General features: G+C 55.1%; 1 protein-coding gene across 6 annotated transcripts, besides 7 other annotated features; it reads right to left on the bottom strand.

Moving 5' to 3' along the window:
- Nucleotides 692-1,001: an enhancer, noted in NCBI's record as "active region_12105". NCBI's record gives its function as "activates an Ori minimal core promoter by ATAC-STARR-seq in GM12878 lymphoblastoid cells {active_cell/tissue: GM12878}" and the evidence as "EXISTENCE:reporter gene assay evidence [ECO:0000049][PMID:35858748]".
- Nucleotides 1,412-1,461: an enhancer, noted in NCBI's record as "active region_12104". NCBI's record gives its function as "activates an Ori minimal core promoter by ATAC-STARR-seq in GM12878 lymphoblastoid cells {active_cell/tissue: GM12878}" and the evidence as "EXISTENCE:reporter gene assay evidence [ECO:0000049][PMID:35858748]".
- Nucleotides 1,952-2,681: a silencer, noted in NCBI's record as "silent region_8466". NCBI's record gives its function as "represses an Ori minimal core promoter by ATAC-STARR-seq in GM12878 lymphoblastoid cells {active_cell/tissue: GM12878}" and the evidence as "EXISTENCE:reporter gene assay evidence [ECO:0000049][PMID:35858748]".
- Nucleotides 2,822-2,871: a silencer, noted in NCBI's record as "silent region_8465". NCBI's record gives its function as "represses an Ori minimal core promoter by ATAC-STARR-seq in GM12878 lymphoblastoid cells {active_cell/tissue: GM12878}" and the evidence as "EXISTENCE:reporter gene assay evidence [ECO:0000049][PMID:35858748]".
- Nucleotides 2,912-3,051: a silencer, noted in NCBI's record as "silent region_8464". NCBI's record gives its function as "represses an Ori minimal core promoter by ATAC-STARR-seq in GM12878 lymphoblastoid cells {active_cell/tissue: GM12878}" and the evidence as "EXISTENCE:reporter gene assay evidence [ECO:0000049][PMID:35858748]".
- Nucleotides 9,687-19,034, bottom strand: GRB7 (growth factor receptor bound protein 7). Of its 6 annotated transcripts, none has more exons than NM_005310.5 (15): nt 18,839-19,034; nt 14,516-14,720; nt 14,256-14,406; nt 13,918-14,074; nt 13,671-13,792; nt 13,502-13,579; nt 12,765-12,902; nt 12,309-12,419; nt 11,988-12,086; nt 11,649-11,729; nt 11,434-11,550; nt 11,184-11,244; nt 10,972-11,059; nt 10,770-10,863; nt 9,687-10,221 (listed from the first exon to the last, which is right to left on the bottom strand). In NM_005310.5, the coding sequence occupies exons 2-15, from the start codon at nt 14,668-14,670 to the stop codon at nt 10,075-10,077; spliced, it is 1,599 nt and encodes a 532-aa protein (NP_005301.2). In that variant the 5' UTR covers nt 14,671-14,720; nt 18,839-19,034; the 3' UTR covers nt 9,687-10,074. The 6 variants fall into 6 exon arrangements, with proteins under 6 accessions (NP_005301.2, XP_047291813.1, NP_001025173.1 ...); XM_047435857.1 differs by lacking the exon at nt 18,839-19,034 and adding an exon at nt 18,580-18,620 and having other exon boundaries at nt 11,649-11,870; NM_001030002.3 differs by lacking the exon at nt 18,839-19,034 and adding an exon at nt 18,580-18,620.
- Nucleotides 14,981-15,578: an enhancer, noted in NCBI's record as "H3K27ac-H3K4me1 hESC enhancer chr17:37897647-37898244 (GRCh37/hg19 assembly coordinates)". NCBI's record gives its function as "activates a minimal SCP1, AML or CMV promoter by ChIP-STARR-seq in primed H9 embryonic stem cells {active_cell/tissue: H9 hESC(primed)}" and the evidence as "EXISTENCE:reporter gene assay evidence [ECO:0000049][PMID:30033119]".
- Nucleotides 16,177-16,774: an enhancer, noted in NCBI's record as "H3K27ac-H3K4me1 hESC enhancer chr17:37896451-37897048 (GRCh37/hg19 assembly coordinates)". NCBI's record gives its function as "activates a minimal SCP1, AML or CMV promoter by ChIP-STARR-seq in naive H9 embryonic stem cells {active_cell/tissue: H9 hESC(naive)}" and the evidence as "EXISTENCE:reporter gene assay evidence [ECO:0000049][PMID:30033119]".

Here is a 25,853-nt window from a genome sequence, read left to right as displayed (position 1 = left end):
ATCAGCATCATCTCCCTCCCATCAGCACTCCAAAATGTTCAAACTGGCTGAGGGTCTCCTACAGGTTTCCCAGTCTTGCTCAAGCTGAGGAGGAGAAAGGAATGGCATGGCACCCTGCCTTTGCATTTTAGCACTGAATACATTCAAAAACGGCCCCTCAGTAGCTGGTTTTCAGCCCTGGAGAGAAGATTATATGGCCTTCCCCATCCCCAAATCCCTCCCCAAAGCAGAAGCAGCTCAGGCAGAAGAGAGGGAGACAGGGAGATCCTGACCCCCTTTGCCAGTGAGCAGGACCGGAGGTCCACACTGGCGTTGGGGTTGAATGGACTCCCAGCCTGAGAAGAGTTTTCCTTCCTGATCTTGGGAGCTAATTCAATGCCCTAGAGGGTGGTGGGCCTGGCAGTGGAGGCCACCCCACACCTGCACCCTCCTTCTTCCCCTCCCCCATCACTCAAAACCCCGGACCATTCACTTAGGTTGCTGTGCCCAAACCCTCCACCTGCAGGCAACTGCCACCCGAGGGCAGGCAGGGGGAAAGGACCTAGCTTCCTGCCCTCATCTCCTGTCCCTCAGAATCCAGGGTCTGAGGAAGAGTGGAGGTCACAACTCCAGGAAGACCAGAAACACTGGCCCAAGGGATGGTGGAGGGGCACATTCGGCCCAGGCCACAGTTCGGGCTGTGGAGCATTCCGGGATCAGACAGTTGTTTGCATAAAAGCCAAAAGCCACTGCACCTGGGGTGGGGAGGCCCTCTGGGGAGGTGCTCCCTGGCTTAGGGGAGAGGGGGGAAGGAAGGTGTCATGGAAAGTCCCTGAAGGACACGGGGTGTTGAATTTGCTGTGGTTTTGTTTTTAACTCTGTCTTGACCTGTGAAGTAGGCAGCTGCCTCCCTTCTCCGCAAATAACAGATCTTCCCCCAGAATAACACACATACCCAAGGAAAGGGCTGCAGTGGAAAGGCCTGCGGGTGATGGCAGCTACCCCCCTTCCCCAGGAGTGAGGGGGCAGGAAGCCCCAGAACAGCCTTTCCCATCACCTCGCCTCTCCACCCCAGTACCCTGGCCCCCTGGCCCAGAAGAGCTGCCTAGGCAAATAAACCACAGCACTGGGGGTGGTGGTGGATGGGAACTAGGGGGGCGATGCCACCTCCTCCCCCGGGCTTGTCCTTCCACCGCCCAATCCCCATCCCACCCCCACTGGAATTGCATTCTCAGTGTCTCACTGAGAATGTCTCACTCACAGACCTCAGCTGCCCCGCTAGACTCCTGGGGAGCTGTGTGTCTCTTTGCGTGTGCGTGTCTGTCTCCATGTGTGCCTGTCTCTCTCCTTGCATGTCTGTCTGTGTGTGTCTGTGTATCTGTGTGTGTGCGCGCGTGCACGTGTCTCGTGTGTGTGTGTTTGTGTGTGTTGAGGGAAAGCAGGCTGAGTCAGTGAATCCAGCAAAGCTCTGAAGTCCCAAGCAAAAGACAGTCGCAGACTCCCGCAACTATTTGGAGTCCTGGTTCCAATCCCAGCCCTCTCCCTCTCGGGATGAGCCCAGACACTTGACTTCCCCTTCTGGGCGTTGATTTTCCCCAGAGTCAGGGATCTCTGAAGGGCCTTCCAGCTGGTACTCCTAAGACAGGCCTCAACCTCACTGCACCAGCCGGGCTCCAGGTCTTCCCTCTCTCTCCTCTCCTCACTGGACGCTGGAGCTAGAGTAATAGTGGCCGGGCCCTGACTCTCTCAAGATGTCATTTTCCTAACTGTTCTATCAAATTCCAATCCTGGACCCCAGGGGTAGGGGACAGGATCCCCTCACCTGTGGAATTATAGGAGGCTCGGAATAACGCGCGCTGAGGCTGGGTCTGAACCCCCGGCCCCCGCCCTTTCTCAGGTTCTCCTCTTAATTCTGCGTGGACCCAGACCCCAGATTCCCGGCTAGGGTGCCTGGGAGAGGAAAGGGAGGCCGGCGGAGAGGGGGCAGGGGTGCGGCGCGCGGTGGGAGTGAGGGGGGTGTGAGGGGAGGGGCAGCTGCACTTCTGAGAAACAGCTCGGCGTCTCAGCAGCCCGCAGCCTAACCCCCTGCCTGCGGCTTCACAGCTCCCTCCTCCCGCCGCCCACGCCGCTCGGGGCCTCTCCGGGGGTCGGCAGCCCCGGCGGAGACGGTGTCTGCTGGGGAGGAGCGGCAGCTCGGGGGACAGCAAAGTGGAACCCATGGGGGGTGGGAGTGGACATGGAGGAAAGCGTGGGTCGCGTGACACCCCAGGAGTGAAAGGCCTCCCCTCATCGGGGTCCCGAGCGCCGGATCTCGGCGTGCCCGCGTGTTCCCCCGCTGCCCCCGCGCTGTCCTATCACAGCCCGAGCAGGATCCAGAAGTGAAACTGCCCGGGTCACAGCCCAGCGCCGCTGCTGCACCCCGCCCCGCCCTTCCGGGCACTGCCGCTGCGCAGGATCTCCCGGCGCTCGGGCGCCTGCGGGGAGGAAACGGGGGAGGGGCAGGGGAAGTGCCCCCGCGGGCATCTGCAGCGCGCGGCCGCTCTCCTCCGGGGTGCCCGCGCGTAACCGGGGTGGGAACCTCGAGAGACAGGAGCCCCGGAGGCCTGGCCGCGGCGACCGCACTTCCCGCGACGGCCGCTGGGTGTCACTGCAGCCGCGCGGCTGAATCGGCTCGGCGCCTGCGGGAGTGGGGGACGGTGGGACGCCGGGACTAGGCCGTCGCGCTGCACGCCAGTCTCGCCTGCCCGCGCCTGGAGGCTCCGCGACGCTGGGATGCGGCGCCCACACCTTCCTCCACCCGCCTGGCCAAGGAAGCACCTCCCGCCTCGCCCACAGACTCGCAGCGAGGCCCGGACTAAGCAACGCCCCGGGGCGACCGGCTCGTTGCTGCGGCGCCACGCAAGCCACGAAACCGATGGCGCGTCCCCTCGTGGGGCCGAGTTCAAAGAGCCGCGACCCCGACGCGCGCCCCCTGGCGAAGCCGGCGGCCTTCCCTCCGCAGAGGCACGAGGGGCCGCCACGACGGAGGGTGGCTCGGTGGAGCCTGGCGCCCGTCGGCCCCGGCGCGCGCATGCGACTTGGGTGGTGGCGGAAGGGCGGGCGGCGGGGCAGATCGCCTCAGGCACCGGCCCAGAACGGCTGAGAGACGGGTCCCCCGTGTATCCTCCCCTACCCCAACCTGGCCTGACAAGTGTGGGATCCAGCCTTACCCAGCCACCCCCTGGCCCCAACACTAAGTTCCTCCAGTAGATGTGTGGGGCAGGGTGCCTCAGCCTGGGAGGAAGGAACCCTCCCTTGGGAGGCCAAAGCGGGAGGATCACTTGAGGTCAGGAGTTTGAGATCAGTCTGGCCAACATGGCAAAACCCCGTCTACTAAAAATACAAAAATTAGCTGGGCGTGGTGGCGCACGCCTGTAATCCCAAACTACTCAAGAGGCTGAGGCAGGAAAATCGCTTGAACCCAGGGGGTGGAGGTTGCAGTGAGCTGAGATCAGCCACTGCACTCCAGCCTGGGCAACAGAGTGAGACTGTAAAAAAAAAAAAAGAGAGAGCGAGAGAGAGATCCCTGGAATCTTTTGGGAAATTGGGGTAGTGCCAGTAGGAATGCCCTGGAGGACAGGACTCAGGGCATGGGAGTTGGGCAGGTGAATGCGGATGACCGTGCCTGTTGGTCACAGCTGTGTGAGGGTGCGGGTGGCCCGTTCCATCCCTGCTTACAGCTTCCCCTCCAACTCCAAGGTCACAGGGCCCAGTTCCACTACCCAGACCCTAAGGAGATCCACGTGGTTGTCCTGAGGGGGTGGTTTCTGCCTTCCAATCTCCCTCAGTCTGCCCCAAACCACCCTAAAATAAACCTAATCCAAGTAAGAACAAAGTGCTTACAACAAAAATGCAGCTCCAGGCCCGGCGCGGTGGCTCACACCTGTAATCCCAGCACTTTGGGAGGCTGAGGCGGGCGGATCACATGAAGTCGGGAGTTCGAGACGAGCTTCACCAACGTGGATAAACCCCATCTCTACTAAAAATACAAAATTGCTGGGCGTGGTGGTGCATGTCTGTAATCCCAGCTACTTGGGAGGCTGAGGCAGGAGAATTGCTTGAACCCAGGAGGTGGAGGTTGCGGTAAACCGAGATCACACCATTGCACTCCAGCCTGGGCCACAGAGCGAAACTTGTCTCAAAAAAAACACAAAAACAAAAAAAGCGAAACAAAAAAAACTCCAGCTAAACAGCCCCCCCAGGTGCCCATCAAAGAAAAACTTGCCCCTTCCTTGGGGTAGATGCAGCCGTGTGAGAGGGTGTCAGATGACATCATAACTCAACCCACATGGGATTGAATTTCAGGCCTCATCCCCATTTCCCCACACCGCCCCTTCTTGTATGGTGAACTTCGAGAACGCTTGTGGAGCAGCCTCAGCCCGCCCTCCCCACACCCCAGGATCGCCCACACCCCCAGGCTCTGGAGTCCAGTCTGCAACATCCAACTCCCCCAGGATCTAACTCCTTCTTTTCTCTCCTCCCCCAACTCAACTGAGAGCTCAGAGTCGTTTGTCCTAATTGCCACTGCATACTCCCCCTCAAGTCCCAAAGCTGAGGTTCTGCCAACAGCACAGGACAGGAAAGCAGTCTGCAGACGCCCCACCACTGTGCGAGTTGGACCAAGCCCTGACCTCTCTGGGCCCTCTTTCTATCTGTTGGACCAGATCAGTACTTCACTGGTTCAAGCCTTTTTCCTGAATATACCATAAGGCTCAAGTTCCAGATAGAAAGGCAATGCATCCCCCATCACCACCCCAACCTGCCCCTCAAGCCCCTGCCAGAACCCTTGGGCTCTGGGAAGGAGTTAGAAAACTGCTTATGTGGATAGTTTGGAAGAAAGAATCCTTCCAAGTGGCTTTGGGCTCCCCTGTCTGTGTCCTGTCCTTCCTCTCTTCATCCCTCATCAGGGTGCCTGGCACTGGGGCCCAAGGAAGGAGCCAGGCAGGGTCCCTGACCTGATGTTGAACCCTTGGGCCTGTCCACCACCCGTGAACTTGGATGTTGCAGAACTGGCCAGGGCTTTGTCTGGATGCCCCGCCCAGGGAGGTGGGCTCCCCTGGAATCATGCCCACCCCCATCCCAGAGTCCAGAGCGTTGGCAGCAGTCCTCCCTCCCCTCCACACTTGAGCAGGCAGGGAGGCCAACATTGTAGCCACACCCTCCACAGAACCCCTACCCTAAAGGCCCATGGTGCTGCCAAGGATAGCAATGTGCCCTGGCACCCGGCTCCCACCGGCCACGCTGGTCCCGGGAAGCTGGAACGTGTGATGCATGGCAGGCAGCACTTCGCGTCAGCTCCCCAGATGTGGGCCCTGTCACCCTCTCTCAGTACTGGGTCCTCCTCTGCATGGAAAGATGATGAGGAATTTCCCCTTTGCCCTCAAGTTTTTTTCTGAAATGTTTTTAATAAGTACGTATAATTTTAGAATGAAACCCAATAAATCAATTTTGAAAAGACAGTATCTGAGGTCCCAGCCCCCACCCTCTCCCCCAGAGAAGCCCCTGCTTCCCCTCCCACCAGCCCAGATTTTCTCAGAACCACAAGCCTCCCCGATCTAGCACTGCAGCCGTCCTTGGCAGTCCTTTCTGCTGTCTGACCACTGTAGGTCATGCTGCAGTCTCTGAGGTAGAGCAGCATCCTTCCCACATCCTCAGAGCTGGGGGATCTTACCCAGGGGTTCCACTGTGAGCTGGCCCTGAGAGGGTCCCTGTGCCCCCAAACTCTTAGCAGCTACGTCTCCAAAAAGCCAGAAATCTCAGACACTCACCAAGAATGGGCTGCTGCTGGTCTCAGGTGGCCAGATCAGGGCCAAATGCTGCCCCCTCTAAGGGCTCTCGGCAGCCTAGGTCCCTCACTGTGGCCAGCACTGAGAAGGGAGGGGGCAGAGAACAAAGGCTAGAGCAGGGCAGGGCTGCATTTCACCACCTGTCCAGTGGGCTGAGTCTGGCCTCTGTCCCGAACTCCCTCTGCGACCCCTGTCGCAGGTGAGTCCCTGTCTTTCCCTGAGCCTCAGTTTCCCATTTGTAAAGTGGGAAGGACATCTGTCTCACAGTCTCCAATTAGCTGATTGACAGAGAGGCTTTGTCTCTGCCCAGTGCCTCAGGCTGTGAAGGGACACTGGGTCCTCTTTTTTTACAGTCTGAACCCCTGGACATGCTGAAGAGGTGACTCATCTTGACCCCTTTACTCTCACTCCAGCCTGGAACTCTGGCACCCACACCTCGGAGGTGGCCCTGGGCACCCATGGCCAGCCACACAGCTGACACTGCCCTGTTCGGTGCTCGAGCCACAGCCTGTGGTGGGGATGGCTCTGGGAACCGTGGCAGGTGGCAGGCAGCAGGTTGCACTGGGTCCTGCCTCCAGTCCTGCTAAAAAGAAGCAAAATCTGCCACCCTTCCTGCCCTTGGGCTGCAGTAAGTTCTTCCAGCAGATTCCCAGGAGGTCCCAGGCTGGGGTGTGCATGAGACCTCTCTGCCCACCTCTGTCTGCTGGACCTGGTCCCAGCTTCCCAGCCTGGAGTTAGCCAAGGATGGGGGTGCCTTGGTCGGGAGTGGCTGCCAGGGCTGCCAGACCCAGCCCAGGGGCTGATTGCAGAGGCTGCACAGTCTCAAGGTCACCTCAGGACAACCCTCCAGGCCAGAGACCAAGGCTGCAGGGAAGGGAGGGGCTCTCTAAGGGAGGACCCCAGTAGGCCACTATTGCTGTCACTGTGGCTGAGGAATGCCACCTGGACGTCAGCCAGACAGGGGAAGCAGAACATGCCCAGACCTGGTCCTCAGACCTGGGTTGGAATCTTGGCTCTCCCACTGTGATCTGGGGCCAGGCTGCCCACTGGGCCGTCAGTTTCCTCACCTACAAAACAGCGTCTCACCACCTCCTGCCCAGTCAGTCCCAAAGATTTGAGAAGGGGCTCTCCATTAAAATATATCAATATATAATAGAATATCCAAGCATATACAAAGGTGGAGAGGATAATTTAACAAATCCCCACATAGCCAGTACCTGTCACCAAGCTTCAACCAATATCAACAGCCAGTGTCAACTCATGGCCACACCATGACTATGCCCACACCCTCTCCTTTAACCTCTGGATTTCATTTTTTTCTTTTTATTTTTTGAGACAAGGTCATGTTCTGTGGCCCAGGCTGGAGTGCAGAGATGCAATCATGGCTCACACCAGCCTTGACTTCCTGGGCTCAAACGATCCTTTCACCCCAGCCTCCCAGGTAGCTGGGACCACAGATGCATGTCACCACACCTGGCTAATTTTTTATTTTTTATTTTTGTAGAGAGGGCCTCACTATGTTGCCCAGGCTGGTCTCAAACTCCTCCCACCTCAGCTCCCAAAGTACTGGGATTACAGGCATGACCCACTGTGCCTGGCCACCTCTGGGTTATTTTAAAAACAAAGCTTCAGCATTACTCAATATACCCAGGTAATAAACCTGCACATGTACTCCCTGAATCTAAAATAAAAGTTGGAAAAAAAAAAAAGAAAAGGAATAAAAACAAAGCTGAGACATCATGTGATTTCACCTTTAAATACTTCATAATGAATTTCTTAAAGATAAAGATTTAGAAAAAACCGTAACTGCAATACCATTATTACACCTTAGAAAGTTAGCCATAATCCCTTAATATCATCGAATATCTGATCAGAATTCAAATTTCCCCCAATTGCTCATAAATGCTTTTTACAGTTAGTTTGCATTTGAATCAAAGGTCAACACATCATTTGGTTGATATATGTCTAAATTTCTTGAAATCTAGAGATTGCCCATCTTTTCTGGTAATTTTGTTGCTGTTGAAGAAGAAACTGGGTTATCTGTTCTGTAGAATTTCCCAATCTGGATTTTTGTCATTGTTTCCCTTGTATTTCCCGTAAACTAGTTGTTGAATCCAAGGAATCAGATTCAGGTTTGGTGTTTTGACAAAAACAATGACTAGTTGGGGTTCACAGGTCTGCAGGAGGGTCTGTCTCCTGAGTTAAGCAGCAAGTTCAGATGCAGTCGATCTGACATATTTATTAAAGAGCTCCCATCAGGTAAGAGCTCAAACTAAAAAACTCTTAGACAAGGCCAGGCGCAGTGGCTTGGGTGTGTAATCCCAGCACTTTGGGAGGCCAAGGTGAGTGGATCACTTGAGGTCAGGAGTTCAAGGCCAGGCTGGCCAACATGGTGAAACCCCGTCTCTACCACAAATACAAAAAATTAGCCAGGCGTGGTGGCAAGCGCCTGTAATCCCAGTTACTTGGGAGGATGAGGCAAGAGAATCGCTTGAACCCAGGAGAAGGAGGTTGTAGTGAGCTGAGATCGTGCCACTGCATTCCAGCTTGCGCAACAGAGTGAGACTCCATCTCAAAAAACAAAACAAAAAAACCTCTAAGACAAAAACATAGACTGGCATGAGCAGTGGGCAGAGGCCAGACATCTGTCTTTTTTTTTAAGACTGAGTCTTGCTCTTGTTGCCCAGGCTGGAGTGCAATGGCATGATCTTGGCTCACTGCAACCTCTGCCTCCCCGGTTCAAGCTATTCTCCTGCCTCAGCCTCCCTAGTAGCTGGGATTACAGGTGCCCGCCACCATGCCCAGCTAATTTTTGTATTTTTAGTAGAGATGGGGTTTTGCCATGTTGGCCAGGCTGGTCTCAAACTCCTGACCTCGTGATCCGCCCGCCTCGGCCTCCCAAAGTGCTGGGATTACAGGTGTGAGCCACAGTGCCCTGCCGGGAGTGGTGAATTTATATTTGAGAAAAGATCACTCTGGGTGCTGAAGGATGTGTTGGAGATGGAAGCCAGATGCAGAGGGCTGAATGCTAGCAGGCTCCATTTATATGGCTTTCTGGAAGGGGCAGAACTAGGACAGAAAGGAGGTTTCAGTTTGGGTAGGAGGGAGCATGGCTGATAGTAGGGGGCACAGGGACTTGTTGGGGGTGATGAGGCCATTCTGTGTCTTGGTGGTGGGGCTGGATGCATAACTGTGTGCATGCTGGGGCCAACTATCCGTCAGCTAGTCCAGGACTAGCGGAGGACAAGCATGCTGTCGGACTCATCTCCAACTCCCAGGCCCTGTTAATTACCTCTCTAGACTTAGACTGTCAGAAAATCTCTCTGGGATGATGGTCTCTTGTCTATTCACTTACTTAATTAGCAATGACTGGGCGCCTACTATGTGTCAAGCTGCATGGTGGGCACTGGAGACTCTCAGATAACCACTCCTGCCCTTGAGGAACATCCAGGCAGGCTGAGACATGGCCTCGATCCATTTGACACTTCCACCAAGGCCTCCACAGGTGCCCACCTCTCCAGGTCTCCCCTCTTTTTTTTTCCAGACAGGGTCTCACTCTGTCACTCAGGCTGAGTGCAGCGGCACAATCTCAGTTCACTGCAACCTTGACATCCCAGGCTCAAGGAACAAGGGATCCTCCCACCTCAGCCTCCTGAGAAGCTGGGACTACAGGTGCACACCACCATGCCCGGCTCATTTTTTTATTTTTTGTAGGGACAGGGTCTTGCCATGTTGCCCAGGCTGGTCTCAAACTCCTGGACTCAAGCAATTCTCCTACCTTGGCCTCCCAAAGTGCTGGGATTACAGGCATGAGCCACCACGTCCAGCTCTGGTTCCCTTCTTGATTCAGCCAGCCAGGCCTTGCCAGACAGAACTCATAGGTGTATCAAAAAATAATCTTTATTGTCACTAGTATAAAACAGAGCAGATCAACTGGCCTCTCGGTCTGTACAAAGTGTGGGGCGTGAAACCGCCTGGGCTGCCCCCACTTCTCCCATAATTCCCTGCCCTAGAGCAGCACCTCCAGAGCTAGGAGAAGGAGAGGGGGCCACCCAAGGCCTTCCCTTGAGGAGAGGGGTCAGGAGTGGACTGGAGTGGGGGCTGTTTTCTATCTGAGGGAGGCAAAGAAGCAGAGGAGAAAACTGGAGTGGCGGAACCCTCCCGCTCCTCATCCCGTCCCCTGTGGCCGCGCCCCAGAGTCCACTGGATGGGTGGAGGGGCGGCGGGCAGCCTGAAGGCGGGCTGAGGCATGAGCCAGTCCACGGCCTGGTCAGAGGGCCACCCGCGTGCAGCAATGGCGCAGCAAGCACGGCAGGATGCCGCGGTTCAGCTGGTGGAACTCCACGAGCTGCAGCAGGTCAGTGAAGCGGGTCTGGCCATCATCCATGCTGAAGTACAGGCGGCCCTCCTCCTCGCTCTGGGGTACAGTAAAGGGGGTGGAAGTTCAGGGAGGGGCCCGAGGCTTGGGAAGCTCCCTCCTGGGCCAGGGCCCCACCATTTCCTTTTATTCTTTTCTTTTTTCTTTTTCTTTTTCTTTCTTTTTTTTTTTTTGAGACAGTTTTCTCACTGTGTCATCCAGGCTGGAGTGTGGTGGTGCCACCATGGCTCACTGCAGCCTTGACCCTCTGGGCTCAAGCAATGCTCCCACCTCAGCCTCCTGAGTAGCTGGACTACAGGTGTGCACCACCATGCCTGGCTCATTTTTAAATTATTTGTAGAGATGGGGTCTCCCTGTGTTGCCCAGGCTGGTCTCGAACTCCTGGGCTCAAGCCATTCTCCCACCTTGGCCGTCCTAAGTGCTGGGATTACAGGTGTGAGCCACCGCACTCAGCCTCCCACTTCTTGTGCAGGGAAAAGGGAGACGCACTGGGGGCCAGGGAGCCTCTGGAGGGGCCTGGTGAGGAGGACAGGTTGCTGGGAGTCCTGTGTCTCATTGCAGGACTCCGGGGACGCAGGGAAGCTCACCGGCAGGATGAGATAATGCTTCACTTTCTGCAGGTGGCACAAAGAGAGGACAAAGCCCTGGGGGTTCCGCTGACTCTCCCGGACCAGGAACAGGCTGCCAGAAGACAGGAGATGGGGCAGCATTACTACCCAAGGACCATGGCTGCCACCTGGACCCCAGTCTCTCTTATCCCTGGGTCTGTTGCCCGGCCCTGCCCCTTACCCGTCTACCAAGCCCTGCTGTCCAATAAGCCGCTGGCTCTCCTCACGGGAAATGCGCCCGTGGAACCAGAGTTGGGTGCGGTGGATGGCTGTGGTGGGGAAGGACATGGGCGGTCACTTTGGGGAGGGGACCCCTATACCATCTACTCCCCACTGGGAATACAAAGAGAAGTTGAGGCAGCCCCCGCCCCAGGACTCGGGGCCGTCACCCACCTGCACTGAGGCTCGTGCCGGAGGCTGGCATGGGCAGGCTGAGGCGGTGGTTTGTCTTCTTCTGTGGAGCAGTGGGAGATACGGGAGAGTCGGGGCGTGCTTGGGGGCATTACCCAGCACCTCAGGAAGGTAGAGCACTTCTTCCCAGCCAGGGGCCTCCCCCCGCCCTCTCTTCCTCCCTCCTATTTCAGGGATCCCACCCAGAGAGTGGGTCCCCAGCACAAACACACACACACACAGCAGGCCTCACCCTCCAGGCCTGGGCCTCCTCCAGGGCCACACTCAGAGCCTCCCGGGGGTTCTCAATGACACGCCCAGCATGGCCAGAGAAGTCCATGGCCACCAGGGTATTATCTGAGGCACTTCTCTGGAGATGGAAGGAGAGGAGAGAGGTCAGAACAGGGCCCAGGTACCCGTAAGACAGGGCCTGCATACCCACCCTCCCATCCCCTTGGGCACACTCACCAAGGGTGGGGAGCCCAAACAAGATGGATGCAGATGGCGAGACTGTGCCTGCTGGTAATTCTTGTACAGCTGCACCCCGTACTGGGGGTGGGGAGAGAAAGAGAGCTTGAGGTCGAGAGGTCCTGGGGGCGTGGCTGTGACGCCCCCCTCAGACCAGGACTTGCCCAGACCAGGGCTGTGTTTCTGCCTTCGATGGGCACTTCCTATAACTTCAGGCTTGGACTGGGGGTTATCAGAGAGCAAGGCTGTGATGCCCTCCTCATTCCTGAGACTTCCTGAGGGCAGAGCTGGGGATCCCTCTGGCCAGGCCAGCCCCCCATGCCACTCCCAGGGTCTCACCTTGAAGAGGCGGAAGGCAGCCAGCCAGCAGGTGCGGCTCTGCTCATCTTCACTGCAGAAGATCCGAAGCCCCTTGTGGCCATTTCGAAGCTTGTTGGGCTGCAGAGAGAGGAAATTGACTGGTCCCATATCTGCCTTTAGGACCACATGTCTGCCCCTGCTCCACATAGCAGAGCTGAATCCAGGAGTTTCCAGCAGGCCAGGGTGCAGGGAGAGGAGTCTAGGTGTCTGAATTGGGGCTCAGAAGCCCCGGGCAGGATCCAGGGGCCTGAGCAGTTCCTGCTTCCCCAGGCCAGGGGCCAGGCCTGGCCAGGTCTTCACCTTGACACAGAAACCGAAGTCAGTGGGCATCCCGTAGAGCTTGCGGCCCTGCGTCACCACGTACACGTTGGACTCGTTCACATCTGCCACGTACTGCAGGTGCCTCGGATCCTAAGCAGCATGAGTGAGCAGGACTTGGTACAGGTAGATCCCGCCCACTATTACCTCCCCCCACAAGCCAGGTGGGGAGATTTCAGGACCAGAGAGGGGCAGGGGAATACCCAGGGTCACACAGCAAATAGAAGTAGAGCCAGGACTTAAACTAAGATCATCTTTTCTCCTGCTACCTCCCTGGGCAGGTGAGCTAGGCAAGGATGTAGGGAGAGATGGTAAACTGGAGGTGGCTGGCCTGGGGGGCCCAGGGGGAGAAGGGCTCAGAGGTTCCAGCAGAGAAGGGGCAACTTCTAAAAGGACCAGGGACTGGAGGGGCTGGGGCTGGTACCCTCAAGACCTTACCTTAGAGGTGCCCTTGGTGGAGTAATAGAGGCCAGATCGGCGCAAGAAGCAGAAAAAGCGTTTCCAAAGCTTCCGTCCTGAACCCCGCAGCTGCAGAAAGCCCTGGATCTCAGGAAAGCTGCCAGCATTCAGGAAGTTCTGAGCCAGAGGAGAGCAGAGGAGAGTGACAGGTCTGACCTCCTCCCTTCCCCTCTACCACCAGGATGTTTCTCTTTTTCTTTTTCTTTTTGAGACAGGGTCTCATGCTAGTGCGGTGGCACGATCACAGCTCACTGCAACCTCGACCTCCCGAGCTCAAGTGATCCTCCCACCTCAGCCTCCCAAGCACCTGGGACTACAGGCTCATGCCACCATTCCTGGCCTTTTTTTTTTTTTTTTTTTTTTTTTTGGAGAGACGAGGTCTCATTATGTTGCCCAGGCTGGTCTCAAACTCTCAAACTTCTAGGCTTAAGTAATCCTCCCGCCTCAGCCTCCCAAAGTGCTGGGATTATAGGCATGAGCCACCGTGCCCAGCCCACCCTCAGGTTTTTACAAGGAAATGCTCCACATGCATTTCTCGCCCCCATTTAATAGAAGAAACTGATGCTCAGGCAGGGAAAGTGACTGTCCCCAGTCACACAGGACTGTGATTTGGCTCTTTCTACAACATAGAGGGGAGGCACAGGACTTAAGGGTGGAGAAGCACTGGCCAATGCTGGGGAGTCGTGAATCTGCAGTGAAATGGGGGGTCCCCCCACCTGGATGAGGTCTTCATGGGATATACCAGTGTGTGCATCGAGACAGCTGGAGACCATTTTTTCTGGGAACAGGGAGTGCTGTGGGTAGACAAGTGTCAGGGATCAGGGCTCCAGCATCCAGGTTGAGGATCAGGGCATCCCAGCGCCCAGACAGCCCTCATGCACTCACTGGGGAGCTCTTGAACAGTTCGTACTTGGCGAAGTTTTTCCGGAAGACGAAGCGGCTATCTCCGCCCACGGGCCAGGCAGCCTGCACTTCCACCACGGACTCGTGGTCCTCCAAACCCCGCTCTGGGGACAAGGGCAAAAAGCAGGGGTTATTGGAGATCAACCAGATCTCCTGGATGAGCCACATGCCTAGCCCAAGATGCAAGGCATCATCTCCCAGCCCGGATAGTTCCATGCACCTGACTTACCCAGTGCTAGGTGGGGGTGGCACTCCACCAGCCCCCAGGTCTCGTCGCTCAAGGCGTGAGCTCGCTGCACCAGCATTTCACACACGTGGCGAGCTGTGGCACCTGCTGCCACCTCCACAGACCTGCAGGCCCCATCCTCACTGTACACCTTTACTACCTGCGCCCCAGGAATTGCACACGACTTGAGGGGAGGCAAAGGGTGATTCATTCCCTTTCCGCACCTGCTAGACCCTCAGGGACTCCTAACCAAGATCCCCTGCCTCCATGGAAGCGGCTGTGTATCTCCCACAGACCCAGAACCCGTGCATCCCTCCCTTCCCTTCTGAGGGACAACTCACATGGGGGCGGCTGGCATCGCGGGGGAGCAGCCCCCTTGCACTGGAGGGGCCCCCGAGAATTGGGCTCTGTGAGGGAGGACTGCAGAGCTCAGGGAAGGGGTTGGGGATAGAGGGGAGGGAGGTGGCACGCCTCTCCTCCTCTCGAAGTTTCCTGTGGCAAGAAGAAAAAGGGAGAGAGGTGTGGGGAAGGGAGCAGTGGCCTGCAAGCCTCTGTGTATTATCCAGCACTGACCTCCCCCAAGCCCCACGCCCCATCGTACCTGCCGGTGGTTGGGATGAGGAGAGGCTGGGACCTCTTTACCTCCTCAGGCAGAGGGGTATCAGGGGGCCGGGGAGTCCCAGGAGGGGTCCCAGGGGCTGGGCAAAGGTCTTCCGGAGAGCTGCTAAGATGAGGTGGAGACAGATCCAGCTCCATGGCGTCTGAGCAAGAGAGGGGCTTAACGGAACCAGTTGTGTGCCCTTGTCCTGGGGAGAGGGGATGAGAGAATTCAGACCTCCTGACCTCACACGGCGGTTAGGGTGCCCCTCAGAGTTTACCTAGCACCTCACTGCTCTAACTGGAGTTTCCCTGAAGCCCTTGGGGAAGGACAGAATGAGCCTCATTTTACAAAAGGGGACACCGAGTCTCTGAGAAGAAAGCATTCTTGCCCTCAGTCACAGGTGAGTCGGGAGTAGAACCTGTGTTTAGACTCCAAGTCCAGTGCTCTTTCTGTTTTTTTTCTCCTTTTTTTTTTTTTTTTTTGCAGCGGCGTCATCTCCACTCACTGCAACCTCCACCTCCTGGGTTCAAGTAATTCTCGTGCCTTAACCTCCCGAGTAACTGGGATTACAGGTGCCCACCACCACGCCCGTCTAATTTTTGTATTTTTAGTAGAGACAGGGTTTCACCATGTTGGCCAGGCTGGTCTTGAACTCCTGATCCGCCCGCCTTGGCCTCCCAAAGTGCTGGGATTACAGGCGTAAGCCACCACGCCCGGCTCCAGTGCTCTTTCTTTAGCACAAAGTTGCTCACAGGAAGAGCTGAGGGTCCACCCACCACAAGCCTGGTGGTCACAACAGATTTCACAACCCACAGACTCTCAGGCTCAGCCCTCAGGGTCAGGGCAAAGGCCCACTCCTTTGCCTCCACGTGTGGGGCACTCACTGCGCTGGGCTGTGCCCCGGGTTTTTCCAGCACTTTGTTGCCAGACCCAGTTGCCAGAGCCTGTTCATACTTGGCGAGGTTTGGCCTGCCCAAGTGATGAGTGATGCAGAGGGGAGAAGGAGGTGGGGAAGGATGGGAGTCAGAAAGGCAGGAGAGCGGGCTCCGCTGCAGTGCAAGGGGGAGAGCAGGGCCTGGGGTAGGGGTCCTGGCCCCAGCAGCCCCCAAACCTTGCGTACCCTCCCCAGGCCATCCTCCTGCCCAACTCTTTCCTGAAGCCCCAGTGCTAGAGCCACCTCCTCTGAGAAGCCTTCCTGGCCTTCCACATTCAGACTGAATGACTCTCTCTCAGCACTGTGCGGGGGCCGCATCATCCATTACTGTGCACCTGTCCTATCCACCCATTTGTCTGAGGGCACCTGGTACCCCCAGGCAAGGCCAATCTCACCCATGTCTTATCACTTATAGGGGCTGCACAGACACTCAAGACAAGTAAAGACAGGACAGCAGGCAAAGACGAGCACTAGAGGTGGAGGTGGGGCTGGCACCTTCTCCGCAGGAACCCAGCAGACCCCTTTGGCCGGGCTGAGACCTGGGAGAACCTGCAATCCCAGCCCCCAGCCTGTTCTCCAAACACTGGGCCAGTACTATGAGGCCACCTGGGGCACCTGGGATTGACCCCTCAGGAGGGAGCAGGCACCTGACCCTTCAGTGAGGGCATCAGGGGATTTGGGGGACAGGTGAGTCAGGGCGGGCGGGACAACACTGCCTAGGGCTCTCCATTCAACCTTGACTCATCCACACAACTTCCTGGCTTAGGAGAAACAAAAACAGCCCTGCCTCCACCCTTCCCCCAACTCCCCAACCCACTGCTAGCCAGAGCGGAATGGGGGAGGCACGGGGCTGGGAACAGGATGGGGGAGGAGGATGTGGGCCTGAGGCTCCTGACATCACCTCCTCCTCCCCACCCTCGGCCTAGCTCCAGGCCAGGTGGGACCTACGATCTGCTCTCACCCCCAGTCCCAAACCACCTCCTCGCCAGGGAGTCCCTCGCCTGGGAAGGAGAGAGGCAATGCCCGGCCTGGATTCAGAGGCCCATTTGGAGAGAAGCCAGCATCCCGGCGGTGCCCCTCCCCACCCAAAGCATCGCTCAGAGCCCCTGCCCTGTGTGGATGAAGTTCCTCCTGACACATTCTCCTGGGTGTCCCGGCCAGAGGGGTACCACAGGAGCAGGAGTGGAAAGGGAAAACACTCAAGAAGACAGACAGGATGAAAGGCCAGGGAGGGGGCTCAGGGTCCTGCCAGGAGGGGCACGACACACCCATCACCCGCTAGCAAGAGACACCAGCACCTCAATACCAGAACACAATCCCCCACTCCCACCCCAGTCTAACCTCCAAACAGCCCCGGTCTCCAAACAGCCCCAGTGACTTCATTCCAGGCTGCAGGGGGCCACGCCTGCCTCGAAATCACAGACCAACAGTGGGGTGGGGAGAGGAGCAGAGAATTCGGGAGGGCAGTGCTTGGAAGGGGTTAGAAGTAGATTCAAATCACATTAGAGCCTGGCCTCAGAGATCAGAGAGGGCCAGTCCAAGGCTGGGGTTTGCCTTCAGAGCCCCCCAGCCGTGCCCTTAAGCTTCTAAGGCTGGAGGCGGGTGGAATCGTCAAGACCAATGGGGTGAGCAGGGAGGAGGAAGGGGTCCTGGCTGTGGGCCTGGCAGCTTAGAGATCTGGAGTTTTCAAACTGAGGCCCCGGTAAAGCTTCGGTTGGAAACACCGACCCCCAAAATCAGTTTGTCCCCTCAACGAGGTAACTCCGTCCGTGGCTTCCCAGCTGCCTCCTCCCCCAGTGGTTCCAGCCCCACCCGCGTTCCCGTCCTCCCAACCTCCTTGTTTACTTCCTGAATCACGCCCCACCTGGCTGGCCCTAAGGGCAGGTGGCGGGGCCCGGTGTTCAGGGCCAACAGAAAACAACTCTGCTTCCCAGAGCAGGGGGAAGGGCTTGCGGGACTGAGGCCTGGGCCAGGGGCCTGGATGTGGCGGGAGAGCCCCCGTCCGCCCAGTACTCCACGCCCCGCCCCCACGGGAGAGGCTTATAATTTTTTAGGGTGCAGGGCCCAGGTGAGAAGGTGAGAAACCCCTGGATGACTCCTAGTATAAGGGAGGACCCAGGACTCTGAGGCCCCGCCCACTCTCACTCAGGAAAAATACCCAATGGGAGAAGGCGGGGCAGCTCTTTTAAAGTTTAATTCGGGAAGAATGCTGGAGTGTCTCTGCAGTTAATCATTACAGGCTGCCCGCCTCCATGAGGTCCCCCCACCAAGCATACAGTAGGATATCAGGAGAGGGGAGAGCAGAGTCCAAGACCGGCGGACCAAAAGAGGGCATTCCTGGGGGGCGGTGCGGCTAGTTGGGGGGCGGGGTGGGGGGCGTTCCACCTTGCCGGCAGATGCATTCATTCTCTGTCCTCAATCTGCCAGGGAGACCCAGACCGGGAACCTGGGTCTCTCCCTAGCCTCATCAAGCAGAAGAAACCATCTGCTATCCCCCACCCCACTCTCCCCAGGCCCCACCGCACTGCAGAGCCCCTCATACACCCCTCCAGCCTTCCTGCCCATTTCATGCTGAAGCCAGGAGGGACCCCGTCTCACCCGGCCTCCACTTTCCCATCGGAGGGCCGGAGGCGGTGTTGCTGAGAAGGGCATACAATCTGGAGAGATGAAGCCTCGACAATTTAGAGGATCCCTCTCCTTCACTGCCCTCCAAAGTGGAGGGGGCCCTCCCCACATCTCCCCGCAGCCCGCAGAGACGTCTGTCTTAGAGACTTGGGGAAACCCAAACTGGGGTAAACTGGGCGAGCCAGAGAGTGAGGGCGGCTCTCCCCGGGTGTGCGGGGAGGGGCTAGTTTCAGCGGGAAAGCCAAGTCGGAGGAGAGAATCAGGTCTTCCTTCCCATTCTCAGCTGCTGCCTGCAGGGAGGTGTACAGGGAGGGAACAAGGAGCGCTGGAAACCAGGATGGGGACGAAAAGAGGGCGGGTGGGGAGGAGGGGGCAGGGTGGGAAATGGACAGAAAAGAGAAAAGTGGGAGGCCAAGCAACCCATCAGGAGACCCAGCCTTTCCCTACCGGCCTCCAGACCGGCCGTGCCTGCCCCCAAAGGATAAATGCCCGCTTGGGTTCTTACCTGAACCCCGAGCGTCAGGACACCCGGCTGGGACCACGTCTTCAGGGAGGGAGACGCCAGGCCCTTAACTACCTGTCCCCCTCCAGCCCCCGCCCCTGGCCTGACATCACCGAGCGGGGGAGGGGGAGAGCCAGGTGGCTCCAATCCTCCCACCTGGGCCGCCGGCCAGTTCAGCCGGAGACTGGCACAGCCTGGGGCCCTGGTGCGGCTGGGGGTTGCCTGGCAGGCTGTCGTCTGAGACCGATCTCGGTCCCCTTACCTGGAGGAGCCCCAGCAGGAGTAGCAGGACACCCGTTCCGAAGTCTGGCTCCGTCTAGGAACCCCCAGATTCCTGGATTTTATTTCAGATCCACTCCCGCTTCTCTACAGGTGGTAGGAGGGTGTCCCGACTTCGGACAGAGAAGTCAGAGGCGGGGGGGAGCCCTGTGTGTCCAGATTCCAGGCCCAAGGAAACTAAAATTATCTTGGGCAGATGGGGGCGGGTCCAGGGGAGGCGCCTGGGAGGAGGAAACCTGGGAGGAGGGCGGAGACTCCCTGACTACGCCAACTGGGATTGTTTTTGCCCTTCCTAGCCTGGCAGCAGGTGCCAAGGGAGGATGCAGGTGCCTGGGGAGAGGCGGGGAAGACAGCCGAACAGACAGTACCACGAGCGAAGATCAAGAGTCCCGACCACCTGGGAGGGAGGGGGGAGGGCCTGGGGGCTGCAAGGTAAGGGGAACCACCCCATCCACTCTTTTCCAACACCCTCCCCGAACCTGGTCTGTTCATTGGCCAAGCCTGGGGGCCTGTCTGCAGCTCTGGATCCCACCCCATGGGGCAAAGAGCACCCTGCCGAGAGGGACGCCAGCCAGGGTGGTGTCCAGCAACATGGCCTGCCCCTCGATCTGCAGTCACCCTTACCGTGGTGGCTGCGCCCTGGCCCCTCAGAGGTACCCAGGGTAAGCCCTCCCTCCCCCGCCCCCCACCTTCTGAGCAAAGTCCAGAGTCTTGGCTTCTCCTTTAAAATCGAGGGGGTTAGGCAGGGTGGCACAGTGGGAGGAGCCATGGTGACCTGGAGAAAGCTCTGGCCTGGGCCCCTGGGGATTCCTCTTAGAGGGATCACTTTATTTTATTTTTTTTTGAGCCAGAGTCCCGCTCTGTCACCCAGGCTGGAGTGTAGTGGTGCCATCTTGGCGCACTGCAAACTCTGCCTCCCAGGTTCAAGCAATTCTCCTACCTCAGCCTCCGGAGTAGCTGGGATTACAGGCGCCTGCCACCACACCCAGCTAATTTTTGTATTTTTAGTAAAGATGGGGTTTCTCCATGTTAACCAAGTTGGTCTTGAACTCCTGACCTCAGGTGATCTGCCCACCTCGGCCTCCCAAAGTGTTAGGATTACAGGCATAAGCCACCACGCCCGGCCTGAGGGAACACTTTAGTTCTCTCAGGGATCACTTTAGCTGTCTCATTCAGTGCTGGGCAAACACAGGGTACTTGGGAGAGGGGTTAGGAGGTGGAGATCAAAGGCTGCGGCCACCACCCAGCTTGATGTGGGTGACAGGAAAACAAACAATCCTTAGGGTGATAAGAGGTCCACCCTGGAAGGGGCACGAATGAGTGGCTCCTGCCTCAATTTTCTCCAGAGTTTTCCTAGGAAAACCGGTATGAGTGGGCCCAGCAAAGAAGTGGGGGAGGAGGCAAGGTCTCTTTGGTGATGGAGCAGCTTGTGCAAAGGCAGAGTAGACAATTCACTCATTCATTTATTCAACTATCTGTTTAGTACCTACCATATGCCAGCCCCATGTTTTGTGCTGGGGATACAGGCGTAAACAACAAAAACAGACCCCGCCCATCCTCACACAGCCAATCAGGAAGATTGATGTTAACCAAAGAATCACACAAATAAGAAATGACAGGAGACAACTATGCTGGGAAAATGACTCACATAGGGAGTCAGGAAAGACTTCTCAGTGGAGGTGACAGCTGAGCAGAGGAGAAGCTGGCTGACATGGGAAGGGGGTTGGAATCGGTGGATGGGAATTGGGGAAGGAGGCCACTTTCCCCAGTGAGGAAATCAATGCCAGAGCTCTGGGCAGGAGGAGATGCAGCATGCGGAGACAGAGAGTGGGGTTGGAGGAGAAGGGAGGAAGCAGAGGCCACGTGGGTGAACCTGGACAGGTGTGGAAGGTGTGGAGAGAGGAAGCTGTGCTTCTGCAAATGTGGCCTCTAGACCTCCCTAACCTTGTGTGGAAAATAGATTCTTGGGCTCCTCTCCAGCAACTGAATCTCAGTCTCTAGGGCTAAGACCCAGGAAGGTGTGGTATTGACAAGCCCTCAGGTGGCTGTTCTGCAAACCAGGTTTGAGAGCCATCCATCCTGTTTGTCCAGATGGGCAGGAGTAGCGGTCAAAGACCAGACCCTGCAAGTTGTATTTAGACTTAAGTAGAAGCACAGAGGAGAGGGCACATTTACATTTTGGAAAGATCATCCTGGATATTGAAGGATGGGATGGAAACAAAGCCACAGTCAGAGGGCGGAGTGCTGTAGGAATCAACTTATATGGCTTTCTGGAGCGGGTGGAACTGTGTGAACAAAAACCAGGTCTGGGGTTGGGGAGGAGGGAGAGGGGTCCACAGTAGGGGGCACAGGGACTTGTGAGAGGTGATGGGACCATACTGTATCTTGGTTTTGGGGTTGGATGCACAAATGTGTGTGTTTCTTAGGACTCATAGAAAGGCACACTCAAGGCTGGGTGCGTGGTTCACCCCTGTAATTCCAGGACTTTGGGAGGCTGAGGCAGGTGGATCACGAGGTCAGGAGTTCAAGACCAGCCTGACCAACATGGCAAAACCCCGTCTCTACTAAAAATACAAAAATTAGCCGGGCGTGGTGGCGTACGCCTGTAATCTCAGCTACTCAGGAGGCTGAAGCAGGAGAATCTCTTGAACCCACGAGACGGAGGTTTCAGTGTGCTGAGTTCGAGCCATTGCACTCCAGCCTGGGAGACAAGAGCGAGACTCCATCTCAAGAAAAGAAAAAAAAAAGAAAGGTACACTCAAGAGGATGAATTTTACTGTGTATAAGTTGTATCTGAATTTAAAAACAACAACAACTATAAGGCCAGGTACGGTGGCTAACACCTGTAATCCCAACACTTTGAGAGGCCGAGGCAGGTGGATCATGAGGTCAGGAGTTCGAGACCAGCCTGGCCAACATGGTGAAACCCCGCCTCTGCTAAAAATGCAAAAATTAGCTGGGCATGGTGGTGTGCACCTATAATTCCAGCTACACAGGAGGCTGAGGCAGGAGAATTGCTTGAACCCAGGAGGCGGGGGTTGCAGTGAGCTGAGATCGTGCCACTGCACTCCAGCCAGGGTGACAGAGCAAGACTCCGTCTCGGGGGAAAATAATAATAATAATAAATAAGAATGCGTTTATAGGTCAATGGAACAGAATCCAGAGTCCAAGTAGAAACCCTTACATTTCTGGTCAATTGATTTTACAAGGTGCCAAGACAATTTCATGGAGGAAAGGATAGGCATTCAATAAATGCTGCTGTGATCAATTGGATAGCCACATGCCAAAAGGTGAATTTAGATCTTTTGCTCACAGGATGCATAAGAAAAAAAAAACTTGAAATAGATCAGATACCTGAATGTAAGAGCTAAAACCATAAAACTTCTAGAAGAAACCATGGGAGATAGTCTTCATGACCTTGGGTTAGGCAGAGAACTTGAATATAACAGCAAAAAGACAACTGACAAGAGAAAAAAATTGATGTTAGACTTTGTCAAAATTTAAAATTTTTGCACTTCAAAAGCCACCATTAATAAGAGGCCAGGAGGCCGCGCGCAGTGGCTCACACCTGTAATCCCAGCACTTTGGGAGGCCGAGGCGGATGGGTCACCTGAGGTCGGGAGTTCAAGACCAGCCTGGCCAACATGGAGAAACCCCATCTCTACTAAAAAAAAAAAAAAAAAAAAAAAAAAAATACAAAATTAGCCAGACATGGTGGTGCATGCCTGTAATCCCAGCTACTCGGGAGTCTGAGGCAGGAGAATCGCTTAAACCCAGGAGGCGGAAGTTGCAGTGAGCCAAGATGGTGCCATTGCACTCCAGCCTGGGCAAGAAGAGCAAAACTCCATACGAAAAAAAAAAAAAAAAAAAAAAAAAAAAAGAAGGGGTCAGGCATGGTGGCTCATACCTGTAATCCCAGCATTTTGGGAGGCTGAGGCAGGTGAATCGCTTGAGCCCAGGAGTTTGAGACCAGCCTAGGCAACCTGGCAAGACCTCATCTCTACAAAAGATATAAAATCTATCCAGGCATGGTGGTGCGGGCCTATAGTCCTAGCTACTTGGTGGGGCTGAGGTGTGACAATCACTTGAGCCTGAGAAGTTGGGGCTGCAGTGAGCTGTGATTGTGCTACTGCGCTCCAGTCTGGGTGACAGAGAAAGACACTGTCTCAAAGAAAAGAAAGAAAAAATGAAGCCAGATGAAGTGGCTCATGCCTGTGATCCCAGCACTTTGGGAGGCTGAGGTAGCCAGATCACTTGAGGCCAGAGTTCCAGACCAGCCTTGCCAACATAGCGAAAACAGCCTGGCCATTGCTACTAAAAACACAAAAAATTATCTGGGCTATGGTGGTGCACGCCTGTAATTTCAGCTGCTTGGGAGGCTGAGGCACAAGAATCTCTTGAACCCAGGAAGTGGAGGTTGAAGTGAGCCAAGATTGTGCCACTGCACTCCAGCCTGGGTGACACAGTGAGACCCCTGTCTCAAAAAAAGAAAGAAAGAAAGAAAAAAGAAAAAAAACTAGCCGAAGACTGGGAGAAAATAGTTGCAAATCATATACAACTATATATGGTTGTATATATGGTTGTATATATTTTGGTTGGTATCCAAAATATATAAAGAACTTTTACAAATCAATAATAAAGAGACAAATAAAAATGGGCAAAAGACTTGAATAGATGTTTCTTCAAATAATATGTATATGAATGGCTAATAACTACATGAAAAGATACACGACATAGTCATTAGATAAATGAGAATTAAAACCACAGTTACATACCATGTCATGTCCACTAGGATGGTTATAATCAAAGAGACAGAAAACAAGTATTGGTGAGGATATGGAGAGACAAATCCTCATATATTGCTGGTGGGAAAACTTTGAAAAACAGTCTGGCCATTTCTTAAAATGTTAAATGCTAGCCTGGGCAAAATGGCAAAACCTTGTCTCTACAAAAAATACAAAAAAAAATTAGCTGGGCATGGTGGTGCGTGTCTGTCGTCCCAGCTATTCAGGAGGCTGAGGCAAGAGGATAGCTTGAGTTTAGCAGGTCGAGGCTGCAGTGAGCCATGTTTGCACTGCTGCATTCCAGCGTGGGCAACAGAGCGAGACCCTGTCTCAAAAAAAAAAAAGATAATCATAAATTAAACACAGGACCCAGCAGTTCTACCCTTAGGAATCTACCCAAGAGAAATGAAAACACACACCTATACAAAGACACCTAAACATTTGTAGCAGCATTATTCAAAAAAGACAAAAAAAACTGGAACCCTAAATATCCATCAGCTGGTGAATTAAGAAAAAAATGTGGCATAACCACACAGTGGAATACGACTCAGCAATGAAAAGGAACAAACTACTCTAGACGCTACAGGATGAACGCATTTCAAAAAACATATTGAATGAAAGAACCAGAAGCAAAAGGCCACATAGTGTATTATTCTGTTTATATGAAACATCCAGAAAAGGCAAAGTTAGAGACAGAAAGCAGATCAGTGGTTGCACAGGACTGGAATTGGGAGCTGGATTGACCAGAAACAGGTGGGAAGGACTTATCAGGTTGACGGAAACATTCTGTAACTGGATTGTAGTGATGGTTAGGCAACAGTACAAATCACTGCATTTTCTTTCTTTTCTTTTCTTTTCTTTTTTTTTTGGAACACAGTCTCACTCTGTCACCCAGGCTGGAGTGCAGTGGTGAGATCTCAGCTCACTGCAACCTCCACCTCCCAGGTTCAAGCGATTCTCCTGCCTCAGCCTCTGGAGTAGCTGGTGCGCCACCACACCCAGCTAATTTTTGTATTTTTAGTAGAGACAGGGTTTTGTCGAGTTGGCCAGGCTGGTCTTGAACTCCTGGCGTCAAGTGATCCGCCCACCTTGGCCTCCCAAAACGCTGGGATTACAGGTGTGAGCCACTACGACCTGCCTGGTTTAAAAAAAAAAAAAATGAGCCCGGGTGCAGTGGTTCACACCTGTAATCCCAGCACTTTGGGAGGCCAAGATGGGCAGATCACAACTTCAGGAGTTCGAGACCAGCCTGGCCAACATGGTGAAACCCCATCTGTACTAAAAATAGAAAAATTAGCTGGCTTGGTGGTGGGCACCTGTAATCCCAGCTGCTCAGGAGGCTGAGACAGGAGACTCACTTGAGGCCGGAAGGCAGAGGTTGCAGTAAGCCGAGATCGCACCATTGCACTCCAGCCTGGCCAACAGAGCAAGACTCTGTCTCAAAAAAATAATAATAATAGTAATACAAAAGTTAGCTGGGCGTGGTGGCTGGCACCTATGATCTCAGCTACTAGGGAGACTGAGGCAGGAGAATCGCCTGAACCCAGGAGGTGGAGGTTGCAGTGAGCCAAGATCGCGCCACTGCACTCAAGCTTGGGTGACAGAGTGAGACTCCATCTCAAAATAAATAAATAAATAAATAAATAGCCTAAAGGGACACTAGAGTGGGTGGCGTGTTAGGATACCATAGTGGTACTGTAGGCAGGGAAAAGGCAGCGAGGACTTGTGCAGACTCCATTTCCAGAGCTGCAAAATGGGAATAATGACGCCAGCCCCCCAGTGAGAGGCTGGATGAGAAGGGATGCGCAGAAACTGTTGGGGGCACAGAGCCTGAAGAGCATCTACTGTTTTCCAGTGCAGGCAAGAAGCAGCTGCAAAAGACTGGAAAAAGCAGTTTAGAGCTTTGGGATCAGAAACACTTGTGTATGTAACTACAGGGTGGTTCCAAATGCCATCAGCACCGGGCGTGGTGGCTCACGCCTGTAATCCCAGCACTTTGGGAGGCCAAGGCAGGCAGATCATTTGAGGTCAGGAGTTCGAGACCAGTCTGGCGAACATGGTGAAACCCTGTCTCTACTAAAACAAACAAACAAACAAACAAAAAACTGGGCCAGGCGCGGTGGCTCATGTCTGTAATTCCAGCACTTTAGGAGGCCGAGGCTGGTGGATCACCTGAGGTCAAGAGTTCGAGACCAGCCTGACCAACATGATGAA

The sequence above is a fragment of the Homo sapiens genome, chromosome 17, assembly GCF_000001405.40.
Source record: "Homo sapiens chromosome 17, GRCh38.p14 Primary Assembly".
Classification (NCBI taxonomy): domain Eukaryota; kingdom Metazoa; phylum Chordata; class Mammalia; order Primates; family Hominidae; genus Homo; species Homo sapiens.
Note: the sequence above shows the minus strand (reverse complement) of the source record. Positions and strands in the feature narration are given on the sequence as shown.